This window comes from Homo sapiens, chromosome 2, assembly GCF_000001405.40.
Source record: "Homo sapiens chromosome 2, GRCh38.p14 Primary Assembly".
NCBI classification, from domain to species: Eukaryota; Metazoa; Chordata; class Mammalia; order Primates; family Hominidae; genus Homo; species Homo sapiens.
In genome coordinates this window covers 57758679-57778383 of record NC_000002.12, presented here as the reverse complement: position 1 = coordinate 57778383, position 19705 = coordinate 57758679, and the positions used below count along the sequence as shown (strand labels likewise).

General features: G+C 37.7%; 1 pseudogene, besides 2 other annotated features; it reads right to left on the bottom strand.

Annotated features, from left to right (window-relative positions):
* On the bottom strand, positions 12331-13430 carry ACTG1P22 (actin gamma 1 pseudogene 22; annotated as a pseudogene).
* Positions 16724-16924: a silencer, noted in NCBI's record as "peak3706 fragment used in MPRA reporter construct". NCBI's record gives its function as "represses an SCP1 promoter by STARR-seq MPRAs in K562 erythroleukemia cells {active_cell/tissue: K562}" and the evidence as "EXISTENCE:reporter gene assay evidence [ECO:0000049][PMID:32103011]".
* Positions 18196-18490: an enhancer, noted in NCBI's record as "tiled region #12008; HepG2 Activating DNase unmatched - State 4:PromP, and K562 Activating DNase matched - State 4:PromP". NCBI's record gives its function as "activates a minimal TATA promoter and a strong SV40 promoter by Sharpr-MPRA in HepG2 and K562 cells {active_cell/tissue: HepG2 | K562}" and the evidence as "EXISTENCE:reporter gene assay evidence [ECO:0000049][PMID:27701403]".

Sequence of the window (19705 nt, the reverse complement as noted above, 5' to 3'; positions counted from 1 at the left end):
ACAAACCAAGGCATAGATTATTTTCAATATAATTCCATTTATAAAAAAATAAAATATGCAAAATCAAAATATTACTAAGATAATAAATAAGGCATAACATGGACTAAACTCAGGATCATGGTTACCTCTAAGTGTGCAGTGCTGATGGGGATATGACCAGAGAGGTGGCCTTAGAAATAGCAAAAACGTTATTTAAAAAACTGGATGGGGACTGTGTGGGTATTTGTTTTATTGCTTTTTTTGTTCACATATTATTCATATGTTATAAATATTCCTCATTGTATGTTTATTTAAAAAATGTCCATATAGTTGATGTTAGAAGATTCTTTCAGTAATTCCAGTTATAGTCTATCCTGCTTTAAGTGTGCTTCTGTAAAGTTAATTAGCTCTTACACTATTGTAAACATGGGAATGATACCTGTTTAGATGGAATCATGTAGGTTCATATTGCAATTCATATTTTGTAATCGCATTTAGACTCAAAGTGAAGCCAACACAGCAGAACATGCAAAACATAGAGACATAGTCTATTGACTGCAAGTTATTTTACTGGTTCAATTTAACCATATCCTGTTTTGGATGATCTAATTGAGCAGTTTTCCCAGTGTGTGTTTTGTTGTTTTTTATATAATTCAGCAGCTTCAGCTTTTCCTACACTCTCTTCCATCAAGCCACTTTTACTCATCATTATTTAAAAGTGAAGTCTCATATTTACTGTAGTATTTCTTTACTTATTAGTCACTTAACATGTCTTTTAAACTGTGAAAATATTTAAAATTAGAATGATTTTATTGTGAGCTCAACTTACAAGTTTCATAGATTATAATTAGTGCCCCTAATAATTTTTTCCTTAAAATCTTAAAATTCTCCCTTAAAATCAATTTTTATTTTTATTGTCCAATTTTGTAGAACTTGAGGGTTATTTTTTTCAGAATGCGTATTTATGTTTTTACAGAAATTCCTGTGTCTTCATCAGTTTTGATTAGATTTAGCCTTATATATAAAATTACTAAAAAATGTACCGCTTGCCTACCACAGGTACAAGCCAGTGATCCATTGCTAGGTACTGAGGGAAATGCACATGGACAACTAATATAATTGTGATCATAAGTGATATAAAGCCTGCCTATAAAAGAAAGATTAAGTTATTAACAATCAAGTCCTGCAGAGTCTTGACCTAATCTAACTTTCCAGTCTCTCCTTCCTGTGTTTGTCTTCCAGTTGCTCTCCCCTTCAGCCATGTGGACTTATTATCTGTTCTTCACACACACACTGTGAGCCTCGGAGGAGATAAGCAAATTGGAGAGCTTTCACCTTGCCAATCCTTCCTTCATTGTGCTGACAGTGTTAATTTCCTACAATATTAATCATATCGCACAAAATTCACATCTTCCATTTAAAACCTTTAATGGTTCTACACAGCCTACAAAATTAAGTGCATATTCATTGCACAGTTCCCATAGATCCTTCAGTATACAGTCCTGACTGTCATTTAACATTTCTTCCTCACTGACCCTGTGCTTTAGTAACCCTCAGGAGTCATAATTCCTTAGGCATACCAGATACTTTCATGGATTCACACCTTGTCTTGGTTTGTAATGCTGTAACTGTGCATTGCCTCTTTTTGTTCACTTCTGTATTCAGTTGAATGTTTACTCAATCATCACGGTGCAAATAGAAGACCACATATTACATGTGGCTGCATACTAGACAGAGTAAACATTTGTAGAATAAATGAGCTTTGTTCACATGGCTCCTTATCATATAATCTTGTGCATGTATGTTTATTGTTAGTATTTTATTTGTTTGGTTTGCCCAGCACATCTTACATTTTCAGTTCTAGATTTTCTACTCATTTTGTATTTTTGGGAAAGTAGCCTATTTTCTTTGAGCCACAGTTTCTTCCTCTGTAAAACAGGGCCAAAAATTTGACCTAAATCACAGGGATTTGGGGACAAAGCCAATACTTTGCTAATTACCAAGAGCTATCCATGTGTCAGATTAACTATAATAGTTTTAAAAAGTTCTTAAAATATTGAAGTTGAAATTCTGTTTAAACATTTCAGATCAGACACCAACTCTCTGACTTCTATAAAGAACTTACAAATAAAATGCTCCTAGTTTTTCACTGTCATCAGTTTTAGCTCTTACTTTATGTAATTAGTCTGTAAGCTCCATGAGGACAGTTTTATTCATTGCTGTTATCTTCTGGAATTGTCAAATGTGTGAATGAACAGATAACCATTAGTATCAAATATAGCAACTTGAACAGGGGTTGGGAAGAGGCTAGATATATTGAATAAACTTATTAAATAGATGGTCCTTGTGTTAAAAAAAATCCAAGATAATTTTAAAAACAGTCTTCCACCCGAGCATTTAATGGGGAAGCCCTTTCTGTATCAACCTTCCTATCATTAACAATGACTGTGAAATTTCACTGGGACCCTGGATGTATTTTATGTACTTATAAACAGTAAAGCATTATCAATAATTACATTAGTCATTGTTATTTAAATCACTATTAGTCATAAATATATACCTATTGAACATATACGTACCTATACTTACCTATAAAATGGATAAATAACTCCCTCTTCTCATATGGTATTTATGTTGCTAAAATCCAGAGTCCAAACAACCAAAAATCAGAGCCAGGGGAGTCAGAATCCTTGAGTTCAATTCCCATCAGTCCTGCATTCTCCTTTTTTATCCTTCTGTGGCTTAGTCCTCAACTATGAAAGGAGGCTAAAATAGATTCCAGCTCATTGGACTGTTTGAGGACTAATGATTCAATAAATGTCAGCCTTTGTCAAAGTTCCTGCCTCAGAGCAAGTGCCCATATACTGTTAGGTGATGCTGTTGTTTGTGGTTGCTCTTTTTATTATAATCATCTTCATGTGCCTTCTGAGGCCTTAAAGAAACACTAAATTATATATATATATAATCTTACATATGTGATATACGTATGTAAAGGAGATTTTCTAAGATTCAGTACATGAAGCCCTGCTTTGACATCTCCCTCTCAAGCAGTAACCTATGAAGACATTCATCTACTGAAAACTGGGCAGCTTTAGCACTTCCAGAGCTTCAGCAGTAGTTGGAGATATGGGGCCAGACACATAGGGAAAGGGGATAGCAGAGAAGGGTAGAGGAAGCTGGTTTTCTACCAGCTGATCTATCAAAGAACTGCTAGTTGGATGAGACTGGATCCTGCATTAGAAGATGAGGGCAAGATGCAGCAAATTACAGACTGCAACAATATCTTAACTGCTTGGCTTTATCAAAATGTCTTTGTTACCTGAGTATAATCAACTTAATTGACAAGAAGAGAGATTTCACTCTTTGTAAATCATAATTTTCATTTATTAGCTGTAGCTGTTTTTTTTTTTTTTTTTGGTCTTAGGATTTTAAAAAATGGGCTTTACTGAAGATACACATTTATGGAATTCAGGAATCTCCAACAATAGTTCTCTATATTTGTTTTTTCTTTTTTTTTTTTTAGGGGGGATCTCTTCTAGAAAACTGATTGGCTAAGAATTAATGATTGTTATTTTTTTAATACCAGAATTTGTTCTATTAACTAGCATAGCTGCAGACTTTCATGACATGAGACCCTACATGTGATACTAATTATATTCGTTAATTTGAGTCCTTCTGATTTCTCACGTTAGACTTAGTAAAATATATACCTAGCTGTTTAACTGAGTGTTTTCAGAGGATTTTTCAAAAATAATAATTTATTCTAATTTTAATATTCCCTAGGTAATATTGAAATAAACCAGCTCTGTATAATTTAGCCTGAGGTAAAAGCATCAGTATATTTGGAACATAAACCTAATTCTATCTTTTGTTGAACTGCCCAATTTAGTAAAAGCATTTCAATGGTACTTCTTAAATGTAGTGTGACTTAGAATACTGGAAGCTGCCCACCAGAATGTAAAAAGAGGAGAATAATTTATATTTAATTGGTCTAAACCTACTTTACCTAGGTCAATAAGAAGAGAAATCAGCAACATTAATCAAGATAAAATTATCAGTTGATTAATCAGTGTTCTAATTACTGCATAGTTCTTTACCTTTTCAATTTTAATTACTAAACCTCATTGTCTTTTTCATATGGCTAATGTATTCATGGCGTATTTTTTCTCCTAGTGAAATAAGATAAAAATATACATTCTAGATATTAAAATATCAAATGTAGAAAATTACTAGTGCCTCTTAAGAATTTCCCCAAAAGGTATAAATAAGCTATTAGATTATACAAGAAAGGAATGATAACTTCATGGATATTTAAGTGAATACTCTTAGTGGGTAATACAACTATGATTATGGAACTAAGCTTTGTGAAACAGTAGATTTTAATGCAATTGGTATTAAACATAAATTAGGAAAATACATTGGAGACTTTCAAGATTATTTGTTTTAGTGAAGGCCTGAATATTTTTTGGTGAATGTCTTTATTAGGAATATGGTGACCCTACTACATGGTTTCTTAACCTTGGCACTATTAAAATTTGGGCCTGATCATTCTTTGTTGCAGTGGGGCTGTCCTGTGCGTTGTAGAATGTTTAGCAGCATCCCTGGCCTCTACTGACAAGATGCCAGTAGTCTCCCCAGCCCCGCTATCCCTACCCTCTACCCCTATACAAATGTCTCCAGGCGTTAACAATTATCCCCTGGGGGGCAAACTTATCCCCTTACTGAGAACCACTGATTTCACTGGCTTTCATTTGAAAAAATTACTTTAAGACAGATATACTGTATAATAAGACATCCTTGCTAGGTGAGTGGAAGTTTTTTACAGGTTAACTATTTTTATGGGAAACTCTTGATATATAAATTCCCAGACACTTTTGATGACATAATGATGATGATCATTGAGATGACAGCAATAACGAATATTCACTAAGTTTATCTATGTCATCATGTGTGAAGGTATAGCAGTTCTGTGAGGTAGGCCCTGTTGTTACTCTCTCGGGAGTTTAGAAAGTTTAAATAATGCCCACATTTAAATAAAGGCCTAGTTAAGCCTTCCTCACTCAACTCGATAGAATTTGAAGCAAAATAACCCTTCTTGAGGAAGATTTTGCGTTTCTAAGAAGGTGAAAAATTTGTGCTGTCTTTTTTTTTTTTTTTTTTTTTTTTTGAGATGGAGTCTTGCTCTGTTGCCAGGCTGGAGTGCAGTAGTGCAATCTCAGCTAACTCCAACCTCTGCCTCCCGGGTTCAAGCTATCCTCCTGCCTCAGCTTCCTGAGTAGCTGGGACTACAGGCGTGCACCACCATACCCAGCTAATTTTTTGTATTTTTAGTGGAGACGGGGTTTCACCATGTTGGCCAAGATGGTCTCGATCTCTTGACCTCATGATCCGCAATAGTTTAGAATGTTGATTACATTTTAAATTGTATCAATTTGTGATCTATTGAGGAAATTAATGTAAAATATTTGGGTTTTACTTAGACACTACACAAGAATTATCTTAAAATTCAAATGTGAACTTATTTGATGTTTAACTGAAAAGACAGTTATGAAACTGATTATAGTAAAATAGGCATTGTGGTTATTATAATGGAAAGATGATTTTCTCTGAAATGAAAAGTGTTTTCTTGGCAAGTTTTCCTTCCTTCTTCTCTCCCCTTTTTCTTCTGGTCTTCCCTTTTTTTCCTTCTCTCCCACTTTTCTTCTCTTTCCATTGTTCATTATGAACTGTATTATTTCTATTACATATTATATATGCTTGAAATTGGAAAACTGTTGAGTTTAGCTACCGCTTGTAACTAAATGACTTGAGCAATAATTAATTCCATTTGCATGATCTTAATGCACAAATGTGAATACTGATGTGGCAGATACCTAATTGTGTTTCTTAGCTATTTGATTCAATTATAAATATTATGTTTTCCCCACTGATGTAGGCTCAACATTCTACCTCTCCTACAAAGATTACTTATAAAATTTTATATTTGGCCTTAGATTATATAAAGTGTAGTATGTCAGTTATAGACTTGCAATGATTTGTATCACCTTTTTAGGGAAATGTATTCAGAAAATTGGACTGAATGTGCATGGCTGCATCTATAAGTATTTATTCTAGCATAAAGCCTGTTCTAAGGCATATGGTATGTTTAGCTACAGGAATCTTAAATGACAAGAGTCAACCTATATATCAATAATTTTTTTACTGTGATAGCTTCCTTATTACCTTTTAAGTGCTTCATAATAAAAATTGCTGTTTTTTTCTTTGTGGAAAAAAGAATATTTGCAAAGCCTAGAGATAAATGAATCTATAATTTTTATATGGGAATATGACAATTTTTTATGGCCACGGTATTTAGTATAATGTTTTGTGTTTCTTAATCATAAAACCATTAGAAAATTAATCGGCTTAATGTTTAAATTATAAGAGTAAAACAAATCCTTTGCTGAGCATAATGGTAGACTAGCCCGGTTACCTCAGTCCCTCTTTGTAGCATATTAAAGTTCTATTCCTAATAGTATGAACATCATGTTCAGCATGTCTTGCAGATGTTTGCTTTGCCATTTTCAACCAGAATCTTGGATAAAATGTTAGGCTGGGCTAACATAGCATACAGAATACTTGAATGTTATAGGTACGCATTTGTATATCACAATAGATCTCACTCATAAGAGATAGTTTCCAGAACACTTAACCAAATATCGTAAGGGAACCAAGAAAAAGAAAAGAAAAAGAAAGACACCTAACAGAAAAATGATCAAAGAACAAGGGTGCCGATTCACAAAAGAAGTAAAATTTAAATTTAAATAAAGTATGTTTAATCCTATTGGTAAGCAAAGTATTTGAAAATGAACCACAATGAATTTATTCTTGGCAATGAGCAAATACTTAAAACAATACTAATGGCCAACACTGAGATGATGGTTAGTGTAACTTCCTAAGAGGATAGTTGGACAATATGTATGGTAATGTAAATTTCCAAATGTTGATACACTTTGATTCAGATATTTTTAAGGATTTTTAAAAAATAAACATATATATAGATGTGCCCAGATATTCAGCTATAATATTTTAGTTATGTAGTGTTATTTATATTAGCAAAACTGTTATATCACCATTGTACAATGCTGATAAATTAATGGATCCAGGCATGGATCATCAATGGCTGCTAACATCAGAAAAAAGTAAACAATCCTGTATTATGTACCACCTGAGGGTAGTATACCATACCATCTATGAAATATTCTTGCCAAAACGTAGAACCAAAATTTGGACAAAATTCCTTATCTAAGACTCTATTTCTAGGAAGTACAGTTGATAGAGGAGCATGGTAAATGACACTGATCCAAAACATGGGAAATACTATAGGTTCATTGGCCTATTTTTGTTTGTTTTTCTTCGTGTTTTTGCTGACAAATAAATTGCAAGGGGAAAAACACAGAAAGGAACCTCTTAACTATTTGCAGTGTATGGATCTTATTTGGATGTTGATATTAACAGTCTGAGGAAGGAAAGGGAAGAAGGAGAAAGAAGGGGTAAAGATGAAGGATTTTTAACACTGTCTAATTTAAAGGCACACAGTGAAATATGTGCAGATGAAATAATGAGTGGATTTGTTTCAAAATAATCTGAGGTTGGTATGGGGAATTCGTAAGGGTACAGATAAAACAAGACTGACCATGAGGTGATAATTGTTGAAGCTGGGTCATGGATGGGTACATAGCAGTTTATTCTAACAGTATTGCTTAAAAACAATGGCCACAGCAACAACCTCAAATGTCCAACAATATGGCTTTGATTAAACAATTTGTGGTATAACCACAAGATAAAATAATATGCAGCCATTAAAATGATATTTATATTATATAGAATGTTTAAAAATACTTAAGCATTCAAAATATTCATAGAACATTAATAAGTGTAAAAAGGTTACAAAACAGGATGTAGTGGATAATCCAATTCAAATGCATAGAAAGGAAATCAAGATTAGTAATAATGGTTTCTGAGTTAGGGAATTAATTACTTTCATTTGTTTTCTTTGTGCTTTTTTGTATATTTTTCAAATTTCTGCAATAAGTACGCATACATTTTATCAGATTTATAATATCATTAAAAATTAGGGAAAGAAAAAATGTGGTTTAGAAAGCTTTTCTCCCTAAATGATGAAAACTTACATTTTATGTGTTCTATAGAAGTAAAGTTTCAACATGTGGACAAAGCATATACTATTTTGTGGTTATGTATTATAAATAATATATTACCATAACTTCGCTGGAAAAGTCAAGGGAAATTAGTTTCATTATTTGTATCTTGTTTAAGAAGAAAATGAAGTGCACTGTGTGTGTGTGTGTGTGTGTGTGTGTGTGTGTGTGTGTGCTGCATGAGAGAGGGTCAAGGAAAAGGAGTCTAACATTTGCAGGATACCTAGATTAAGCTATATATATTACCTTTAGAATTCTCAGTACAGACTTTTGAGGTTGACTTGTATGTCTGCTTTAGAGGTAAGGAAACAGAGACACAGTTTGCAGCATGTAACTGCTGGAGCTGAAAATCAAGCCAAGGGCATTTGGGCTTCCACTAGACCTCCTTGTACCATTTAGCAATCTGACCCTTTTACTAGGGTGTTTATTTCGTCAAAGTATACTGCTAAAACATTTTGCTATTACCATACTATAAAACTAAAAATTATATAATCTATTATTCTGGTACTTGTTATCCAGTTTCCAAAATATTTTCATTAAAATAAAGTTTGAAACTTAAAAATTATTTTACTTAGAAAGAAAGGAATTGGTAAGAGATACCTAAACCTGCTACATTGCCTGCTACAGCGATGGCATCACTTTCCTCTTGACTCTCCCTGCTAGGTGCAGCTTTCAGCACGGTAGAGCACAAGAGATGACATCTGGGGTGGCTAAGGGTCACCTGGCTCTATATTCTTATTCCAGATGAACTCCACAGATCCTTTGATACCACCATTTGGGTTACTTTGTCAGCTAGTTGTTTTTTGTTTTTTACTTCGAGGACTATTTATTAAGAAACGTGTAGTAAAGTCTAGAGTGGAATTCACTAACTGATAAGAAAGATGAGTTAGCTGTTAAAGGGAGGGTCCAGGAAAGGAAGAATGCAACCTAAATAGGTGAGCATTTCAATGAAGAGGTGACTCTTTGGGGTTGGCATGTTCATTTCCTTGCTCCATAAGCTTTTGTTGAACACCTGTTATGTGCCAGGATATCAACTTGGTAAACAGTCTCAAAATAGATCCTTTAATTTTTTTCAAATAAGATGGACTTTAAAACATTTTACATGGATATAGATATAATGGTAAGTGTGGCCCAGATTGGTATTGGTGTGTTGCACCCTTCCACTCTTAAACTCTAGTGCTTATTCATCTGTGAATTGAAAGAGTAAGACCTGAAAACACAGGCACAAAGTAAGCTATTTGGGAAAACAAGGCATAGCCTTTACTCCCTACTTCCAGAGGAACATGCACACACACACGCACATGCACACACACATATTATATGTAATCTTTAAAATATTAATATATTTTAATCTGTACTGTTTTAGAATACATTAAGTATTGAAATCTTGGCACTTCTACCAATGTGCTTCAGAAAGAATCATGATATTCATATAAGAGTGTACTAGCATCATACTGACAGTCCTGTTTGTTTTGTTTCCAAAATGTATTGAGATACTATTTTGATTGTCATGACCCTTAACATAGACTTCCCTTTAATTATAGTCTTTATTCCAATATAAAGGATGCAATCCCTTGACCAATCAATTTATTTATCTCTATTCTAATAATTCTATAAAAATGTGCAAACAGCATCTGTTCACTTCATGGATTTAAAAAATCATGAGTAATCATTCTCAATAATGGGAGAGATTTCTTGTAATTCAAAATTTCAAGAAGTCTCCATTGAGAAATCTGAGTGGTACATCTATTGTATGTGTTTGTAGTTTTTGAAAATTGACCAGCGTGGCCAACATGGTGAAACCCAATCTCCACTAAAAATACAAAAACTAGCTGGATGTGGTGGCACATGCCTGTAGTCCCAGCTACTTGGGAGGCTGAGGCAGCAGAATTGCTTGAACCCGGGAGGCAGAGGTTGCAGTGACCTGAGATCACGCCACTGCAGTCTAGCCTGGGTGACAGAGCAAGACTCTGTCTCAAGATAATAATAATAAGAAGAAGAAAATTGTTATGTGGCCACCCTGAAGTTACTTTACCTTTTTATTTCTAATTATGTCCATTATTGGAATATTCCAAATGCCAAAGAGACTGAGTTTTTCTATACTTACATATAGAATGTGTAAGATTAATGGGCAATGAGAGTGGAAGCTGTCTGTCTTTTCCTATACATATATGCACTTTTGGCAACCCTCTTACCTTCATGTTTTATTTCCAAAGTAGTTTAAATCTTAGATCTAAGAAATAACTTCTTTCTGAATTTACACCAAAAACAGGGAATCTATTTAGACTAGTTCGAGCATGTTGTAAAACATTTTGAACTTTGATGAAACATGTAAGAGTTTCTGCTGTTTTCACATTGATAAGAACCATGTGCATTGTACTAGCCTTCCTTTAGTATTTTGATACAAATTTTCCTCATGCATTCATTAAATATCAACATATATCTTTTACACACTGGCAAAATAATAGAGCTGATGCTTAGCTTGGTGCTTCATATTTTTTTCTGAATTGAATTTTGATCTCATTTGATTTAATATTACAGTCCATTTTTCTGGCATGTACTAAATGTGTAGTGTTCTATTTATTGTAATTGAGGACCTTGTTCTGTGATCATCTTTTTGAGCACTCAAGAAAGAACATGAGTAGGTATAAGTACTGCAAACACACTGGTCATTGAACATACCAATGAGTAAAAGATGAGGGGGTTGCTGATAAAGGAAAAAGAAGTACCTTTGTTTCAATATTTATTGAGGATTGTTTTTAATGAAGTGTTCTGTCTAAAGTGGAAATACTGCTCTTTTTGTCCCTCTTCAAAATCTCTTTAGTAGGTCAAATTGCTGTTTGTGGCTGTATCTTCATTGTTTAGAGATCTTGGAAAACGCTGAAGGCCTAAGCTTAGTTATTAATTATTATACTGGTGTTTTGTTTATTATGATAGGACAGAGTAAAATCCATTAATATGAAAGAGGAAGAGGAATGTCGATCCATTGTACCACTTGGTGGGTTTGTGAAACTTTATTTCTGATAAAAATATGGAGAACATATTTGCAATGGGGTTTGGATAATGCAATTTTGGTATCATATGCCATGATTTCCATATTGGAGAAATGAAAACTGTTGAAGCACGCCAGAGCTACAAATGCTTTCCCTTTCCCTGTGGGAAAAAAATCTTACTGTGTGGGATCAGTTTGGGGCATGATGAGTCTCAGAACAGCCACACCTAGCCTGAGCAGGCTTAAATTTGCCATCCTAGTTCTGCAGATTATGCTAACTTAATAAAATAAAAATAACCTAATGCACACCTAACAGCACATCACTGAAAACATCATTTTTTTAATAGTAACTGCATTTTCAATATTCCAATATATTTGAAACCACTTTTCGAAGTGGTTTCACATCATTATCTTTTTTTTCTGGTTATGGCAGCACTTTCATTTTTTCTTACACAATGATGTGTTGCTGGGGCCTCATGTTCTCACATAACAGTAGAAAACCAAAGTCTGTTATCATGTCTTAAAGAATCGAGAATTGTGTACAAAAAACCCTCACATAAATTTAAAGGATGAATAAATTTACAGGTGTAAGTGCAAACTGCTTCCAACTCAAGGCAAGTAACAGTCCATGGTGTTCTGGCAGGAAAACATCAGGTAAGAAAGGAAGCGGGATCCTACAGCTTGGACTTTTCCAACCCTAAGAGACCGGCAAGATAGAAATGACAACTGGTTCAGGAGCCCTTGCCAGCCTCTGGAGAAATCCCATGACACTCAGCCATGACACTTTAATACCCTCTGCAGATCGGAGACTACTGGCTACTCGGGCTCACCACGCCATGGACTTGTCTCTCACAAGCATGTTCTTTCCTCAGCCATGAACTGACCCAGCCACATGTACTAAAGGTTGAAATCAAAGGTATGTACAGTGTATTAAACAAATGACTAGGGAATAGTTAACCTGAATACAAGGTTAAAATCAGCAACAAGTTCTACAGTCCAGTCTTGCTATCAGATACAAGCTTCAAGGACAAATTTGTTTTCAAAGGCTTATTACAGTTTCATGAGGCTAGCATGAGGTGTATACATGTGCCAGGGGCAAATTTATACTTCTGAATTAACCCATGCAGCAAATGCTACAAGCAACTGCCTGCAGTCCATTTAGAAGCATTTGCAGTGGATGATGGAGGGGACTGACTCATGGTACTCCTGCTTCCTAATCCACATCTACTGGAAAGTAGACAGCGAGGCCAGGATGGAGCCGCAGATGCACACCAAGTACTTGCACTCAGCAGGGAGGTGATCTTCTTGGTGCTGGGTACCAGGGTGGCGATCTCCTTACGCAACCTGCCCATGATGCCTGGGTATGTGGTGGTGCCATTGGACAGCACCATGTTGGTGTACAGGTCCTTGTGGATGCCCACATCATACTTCATGGTGGAGTTATTAGGTTATTTTTATTTTATTAAGTTAGCATAATCTTCAGAACTGGAACAGCGCCTCCAGACGTCAGAACCACTCATTGCTAATGGTGATCATCTGGCTATTGGACAGTTGGTAGCTCTTCTCCAGGAGGAGGATGCAGTGGTGGCCATCTCCTGCTCAAAGTCCAGGGTAACATACCATAGCTTCTCTTGATGTCACGCACGATCTCCCTCTCGACTGTTTTGGTGAAGCTGTAGCTGTGCTCCGTAAGGATCTTTATGAAATTGTTGGACAGGTCCCGGCCAGCCTGGTCCAGACACAGGATGGCTAGGGAAGGGTGTAGCCCTCATAGATGGGCACTGTGTGGGTGACCCTATCTCCAGAATGCATGACAATACCAGTGGTGCACTCAGAGACATAGAGGGACATTACAGCTTGGATGCCCACATGCATGGCCAGGGTATTGAAGGTCTCAAACATGATCTGAGTCATCTTCTTTCTATTGGCCTTGGGGTTCAGGGAGGCCTCAGCAGCACAGGGTGCTCCTCCAGGGCCATGCGCAGCTTGTTGTAGAAGGTATGGTACTAGATCTTCTCCATGTTGCCCCAGTTGGTGTCCATGCAGTGCTGGATGGGGTACTTCAGGGTCAGCATCTGGCTTGCTCTGGGTCTTGTCACCCATGTAGGAGTCCTTCTTGCCCATGCCCACTATCACACTGTGGTGCCAGGGGCACCTGACGATGGAGAGAAACATGGCTCAGGGGGTGTCTTCCCCAGCAAAGCCAGCTTTGCACATGCCAGAGCCACTATCATTGACGAGCCAGCAATCTTTTCTTTCAGTGAGATCAATGGAGGAGCTGGGAGGTGGAGGGTAGACCATTTGCAGCGAGTGAGCCACATCATTATCTTATGCTTTCCTTCCAACAACTTTTAGATAGATAACCAGGGCCCCACTGCTGGGCTTGTTTTAGAGGCATAGAGAAAGGCTCAACTCCTGTTCTTGATTTCCTTCTCTTACATTCTTGACTATTCCTTCTTTATGCTGCCCCTTCATCCTCTTCCTCTATGAAGGCTTTTCATATCTGTAACATAAAAAGGATTAACTCACTCTCGTTTTAAACAAAGAAACAAAAACATCATCCTATTCTTCAACAGCGTCCTTCTTTTTTTCCCCCAATATTCCCAATACAACCAGCCCTGTGCCTCCATTGCCCTTTACAGCCAAGTGTCAGGAGAGGGGGCCTCAGTCGCTGTGTGAAGATTTCCCTTGCATTCCCTCCTTGAATTTCTCAGTCCCATTGTGAATTCTCTTCAGTGCTGGCACTGAGATCCATCTCCTGCTTCTTCCAGCTCTCTCTTCCATCTTGGACAGCTACTCTCACCTTTTCAGGGAGCTCAATCTAATTTGAGGCTTCTTCCTCCAAAACTGCATTTCTGTCCCAGCCTCTCTTATACAAAATCTTACACAACTTACACACATATACACACACACCAATTTCCAATATATTCAAGTTAGCTTCCTGTTAAAAATGGATTACCAACTTTCCTTAATGACATGATGATCAACCTTGTTGCTCAGGCCAGATTTCTGGGTCAAGTCTGGGAATCTCATCAGCTTTCATCATGTTCATTCTTCAACAACACGTGTTTTGTTAATGTTATCCACTCAAATTCTGTCAATTACAATTTTGTTTTTAAAATTCAAATGTATTTCCTCGTTTCATCCTCACAGGCCTATGTTATTATAAAGTCTTATCTTGCTTGCATTACTGCAAAAGTGTTCTAACTGGTATCTTTGCTTCTAATTTCCCTTCTTTCCAAATATCTATACTCCTGCCAGAGTGGTAGTGGTGTTTCTAACACTTACCTGCTTAAAACCCACTTATTTTTTTCTTACCACCTTTCAGTGGAAAATCTGAAGTCTTTAATACCTAACAAGAGGAACTTTTTGATTTGTTTTAGCCTCTTTCCAACTCTTTCTCCTCATTTCCCTTGCATATTACCCTGTAACTGCAAGGAACCACCTGAAGTTCTTAGGATATTTTCAGTCATCTGGTATCCTTGCTTGAAATGTCCCTAAACTGGGTTAATAAGTGTCTTTCCCGAATTCATGTATATTAGGCACCTCAGAATGTTACCTCATTAGGAAGTAAGTCTTTTTAAAATTGCACATATTTAAGGAGTGCAACAGGATATTTTGATACACATAGTGGAATGATTATCACAGTCAAGCAAATGAACATATCCATCACCTCAAATAATTCCTTTTTTGTGTGTGTAAGGTAAACTACCTAAAATCTCTCTTAGCAAGTTTACAGCACGAAATACAAGATTATTAACTCTAGTCCTTATCCTATCCATTAGATCTCTAGACTTCTCCGACATCATTGCAACTTTGTACCCTTTGAGCTACTTCTCCCACTTTCTTCTTGCTCTTTGCTTCTGGTAACCACCCATTCTGTTCTTCTCTCTGTTTCTATGTACTCAACTTAAAAAAAAATTCCACATGTGATATCATGTAGTATTTGTCTTTCTGTGTTTGAATTATTTCACTTAGCGTAATGTCCTCCAGGTTCATCGATGTTGTTGCAAATGGCATCCTTTTCTTTTTAAAGGCTAAATAATATTCCATTGTGTATATGCATGTGTGTGTTTACATTCATACATATATAGGTCTCACAGTTTATCCAGTCATTCATTGAACACTTTGCAGCTGTAATTAGTTAATAGGAAATCATGCTGGATTAGGGTGGGCCCTAAATGCAGTATCACTGGTGCCTTATAAGAAAAGGAAAAGAGACACAGAGACCCTGACACACAGGGGAGAAGGCCAAGTGAAGGCAGATGCAGAGACTGGAGTAAGGTATGCACAAGCTGAGGAATGCCAAGGATCACCAGCAACTACCAGAAGCTAGGAGAGACGCGTGCGGTAGATTCTCTCAGAGCCTGGAGAAAGAGCCAACTCTGCCAACACTTTGATTTCAGACATACAACCTCCAGAACTGTGAAATAATAAATTGTTTTTGTTTAAAGCCAACCAGTATGTGGTGATTTTTAAAGGCAGCCCTAGGACACTAAGTTACCCTCCCCCAATTTTCTCCGAATTCAAAAAGACTTCAGGGGTAGGGCGTGGTGGCTTACGCCTATAATCCCAGCACTTTGGGAGGCCGAGGCGGGCGGACTGCCTGAGCTCAGGAGTTCATGACCAACCTGGGCAACATGGTGAAACCCCGTTTCTACTGAAACACAAAAAATGAGTTGTGCGTGGTGGCATGCGCCTATAGTCCCAGCTACTTGGGAGGCCGAGGCAGGAGAATTGCTTGAACCTGGGAGGTGGAGGTTGCAGCGAGCCGAGATCATGCCACTGCACTCCAGCCTGGGTGACAGAGTGAGAATCCATCTCAAAAAATAATAATAATAAAATAAATAAATAAGAGCCTTCAGGACCTCCCACAGGTCAGGGTGGGGACAAGCTTCTGGGCACCATGTGCTTCTCTGTTCTATTGCCATGTGAAAGCCACCAGCCAGTGAGATACTTGAGGGCAACACATGATCCTTAGCACTCTGCCTGCAGTGTCCAGTGCAGTCCCTGGCATGTAATGGGATGGTTTTTTGTCAGTTAATTGCATCCGTGAAATGTCCTTTTAATCCTAGTATTTTGTTTTGCTGCATTTTGTCTTTAATGGCAGACGTAACTGAGGTATCCAGTGTGTCCTTAATTTTAACTTTCCTTTTGAGAGGCCCTAATGAATAGCTGGCTGTTCTTTAGGGATGAAGTGCTGCAGTCAATTGAAAATCCAGTGTGGCGGTTGGTTACTATTTCAGCAGAGATGAGTTTTTCCAGTTCAGTAGCTGGCTTTGTGGCAGGGGCATGGAAGAGGTGTAAATGTGTAGAGTGGACTGGGCCCCAGTCCACTAGAACTTGTGGACATACAGGAGCTTTCTGTTCTGAGTGAGTGAGAATAGTGGCCACTTTAGGGCAGAAGAAACTTATTTTCATGGCTGAGGCTTCTACACCAAAGATTGATTAATGAGATACAAGCATACAAACTTGCTTAATATAAGTTTTGTGTGACATGGGAGCCTTCATAAGGAAAATGCCCAGAGAAACAGGTAAACTTGTAAATTTGTATGCTTAGGTTTGATGAAGAGTGAACAGTTATGAGGAAGTATGCAAAGACGAAGGGAATGTGATCTAATGGCAATAAACTGGGGGGAGCTTAGCAAGGCCTGTTTGCTCTGATCCTTCTTTGTGTCCCTCTGTCTCCAGGAATAAGAATGTTCCTTTCCTCCAGATCAAGGGAGGATACTTTTGGAATTAGGTTCTTATGCTCTGCTTCAGAGAAGTGTGGGAGAAGGTTAGAGAGCAACCTTCCTAGGCTTTATGACCTGCTCTAAGGGAGAAAGGTGAGAAGAAAGTAAGGGCGACTGTCCTGCTTCTTGTTTTTCAAATGCCAAGGTGCCATATTTGGGAGAAGCATATCCTGAACCCATCACAGGTACATGATTACCTGGAATAAGTTCCTGGGAGTTGGGTACCTTCCTTCTTTCGGTGGTTTCATATCTATGGCCACCTTCCACTCCCCAAACACTCCCTACCCTTCCTCCTTTTCCCCCTATACACATACAGAACATTGATCTGCTTCTTCTGAATGTTCCTCAAATATGCCAGTTTTTTTTGTTACCATAACTGACTAATTTTTGCTGAGTGTCATTTCATTCTTCTCTTATGTATAAGTAAAAGATAAGAGATGAACATTTTATTTTCTCTGTTACTAAGTCCATTCCCTTTTGATTCATCACAAGGCAAAATGAATCTCAAAAATCTTAATGAAGTTGGTAGTTCCAGTGCACATTAAGAGAAAATTATCTTACAGAAAAAATACACATCAACTATTTGGTTAACTGATGAGAAACTAAAGGCCAAGTTTGGAAATTGTTCAAGTTTTCTATGAATATTCATAAATAATTAACTTGCATCTCAATTTAGAACCTAACAACAGTTCATTTCAATTTTTAAAAAATATCCGAGTTAATTATATGCTGAGGTCTCCTTGCTGGGTCCTCTCTCCTAGTGGCAATTGAATAACTGCAGTTGGTGACAATAACCCTGTGTTTCTGTGGCGTTCACCACATTGCGGTGTAGCTGGAGGAAGATACATAATGAAACTCTTTGAAGGACAGCTGGCTTCCTAAGGGGTGCTCTCTCCCTTTCCCTACTCCCAATCTTTTCCTATGGGGGTAAATTCCTTTTGTTCACACTTTTTACTGAAAGTGAAAAAAAAAAGTGTGCAAAATAAGAGGCAAGAAGAAAATAACCTGCCCTAAAGTAAATACATGGTGAAAAACGAGATAGGTTTATCCTGTTGGAATTTTCCATGCCTTCAGAAGCAGATGCTTAGTCCTGTGAGGGATGCAGAGATTGCAAGCCTCCCAGGGTAAAAAAATAAAAAGAAAAAGAAGAAAAAGAAAAAAATTCAGGAAGAACTCAGTCTAATCGGACGAAGGGACCCCTGTACTTTGTGAAAGAAGGCTGCATAGAAGAATCAGAGCCCTGGGCTCTCAGAGGGAGGCCATTCGGGGACTGCCCCTTTTGTCTCCTCGCCTTGTATGGGCTGGAGGATGGAAAAATTGTGGACAAAAGGCCCGAGGAGGGCGGAGGGTCGGGTCTGAACTCTCGAGGCACAGCTCTCAGCGTTATTCACCATGCCACGTTTCCGCCAAATGGTCCTGTCCAGTTCCCAGCCCGGGCCGGGTGCCGACGGCGGGGTAACACTGCCATCTAGTGGCCATCTCTCCCCTGCCAGCTGGCTCTCAGTGCCCTCTTGCTGGCTCGGTCGTTCCCTCACTCCCCCTCTCTCCCTTTCTCTCTTGCTCTCTCTCCTACGCCCCTCTCTCTCTTTCTAAAAAAGGTTTTTTATCCCATCAAGGAAAAAAAAAAAAAACCTGGCTCTTGGAAAACAACCAACTCTCTTGGAACTCAGAGATAATAATCAGTTTCTCTGGGCTTGTGAAATTGGCTCATTAAGCGTGCTTTTTAACAGAAAATATTGGAAGCGATTAAGTCTGCTTTACTGAGTGGGCATGAAATGGCCAACCTTCGGCCACCCACAGCTCCTAGGTGCCTGGCGCCGTTTTATGCATGCAGCGTAATGTCTTTACTTGAAGTGCTGTTTATTCATCACCTGCTTATTTATCTCTTTGCATTTGGCAGGCACATCGATCAATGTTAAACTGTCACACAAGGTTATTTTTCTTTTACATAACAGTATAGGCCTAAGGTAGTGGCATATTAAAAGTAATAACTTTCTAACTTGTAGCTCAAGATGACAGCCCCATTTTTACCCGAATATATTACAGCAAGGAATTCCTCATTCCGTTCTCCCTCCCCCTCCCTCTACTTCACTAGTACGCAGCTCTTCCAAGGTCAAAGGCTTCATTCTGTCTAGCCTCCCTCCCACTTTGCATACCACTCAGCTTCCTCTTCACCTCCAGTTATCTCCACCTTTTAGGCTGATCCGCCCACAGAGAACATTCTGTGCACCTGGTGTACACATCTTGCTTGTCCCTCTTTATGATGGCATTTACCCCTTTGCATAAAGATGTGGGGGCCAGCAGATCTCTGGAAAAGAAGTAAAAAACGACTGCATATGATAGTGAGAATCGTGATGGTCTCATTTCCATCTCCACAGACATCTCACTAAATGTAATAGTATATTTGGCTTTAGAGTTATAATAAGCAACAACAACCACAGACCCTATGAAAAGAATCGAAGGAGAAACATCTGAAAGCAACGGTATTGCTCTGAAGCAACTGGTGTGATTTGAGGCTGTTGAGTCCACTTATTTTCTTCCTCCTTTCTTTGGTTTTAGGTTAATTTGTGCCCAGTTTGTGATACTTCCTTTCTTGGCAATAGGCCAAGAAAATTTTCTTAGTGCAAACAGGTTTTCTTTTTCTTTTTCTTTTTTTTCCCTCTCCAGTCCAGCCTAAAAATGCCTACAGATGGGATAGCAAATCTTTTTAGTATCACATTTCAAAGTGGCCCTTAGAATTTCTTCCTGTCCTTGATCTCTCCTTTTGAATTTCAAGTCAGACTTAGATTCTGTTGCTAAAT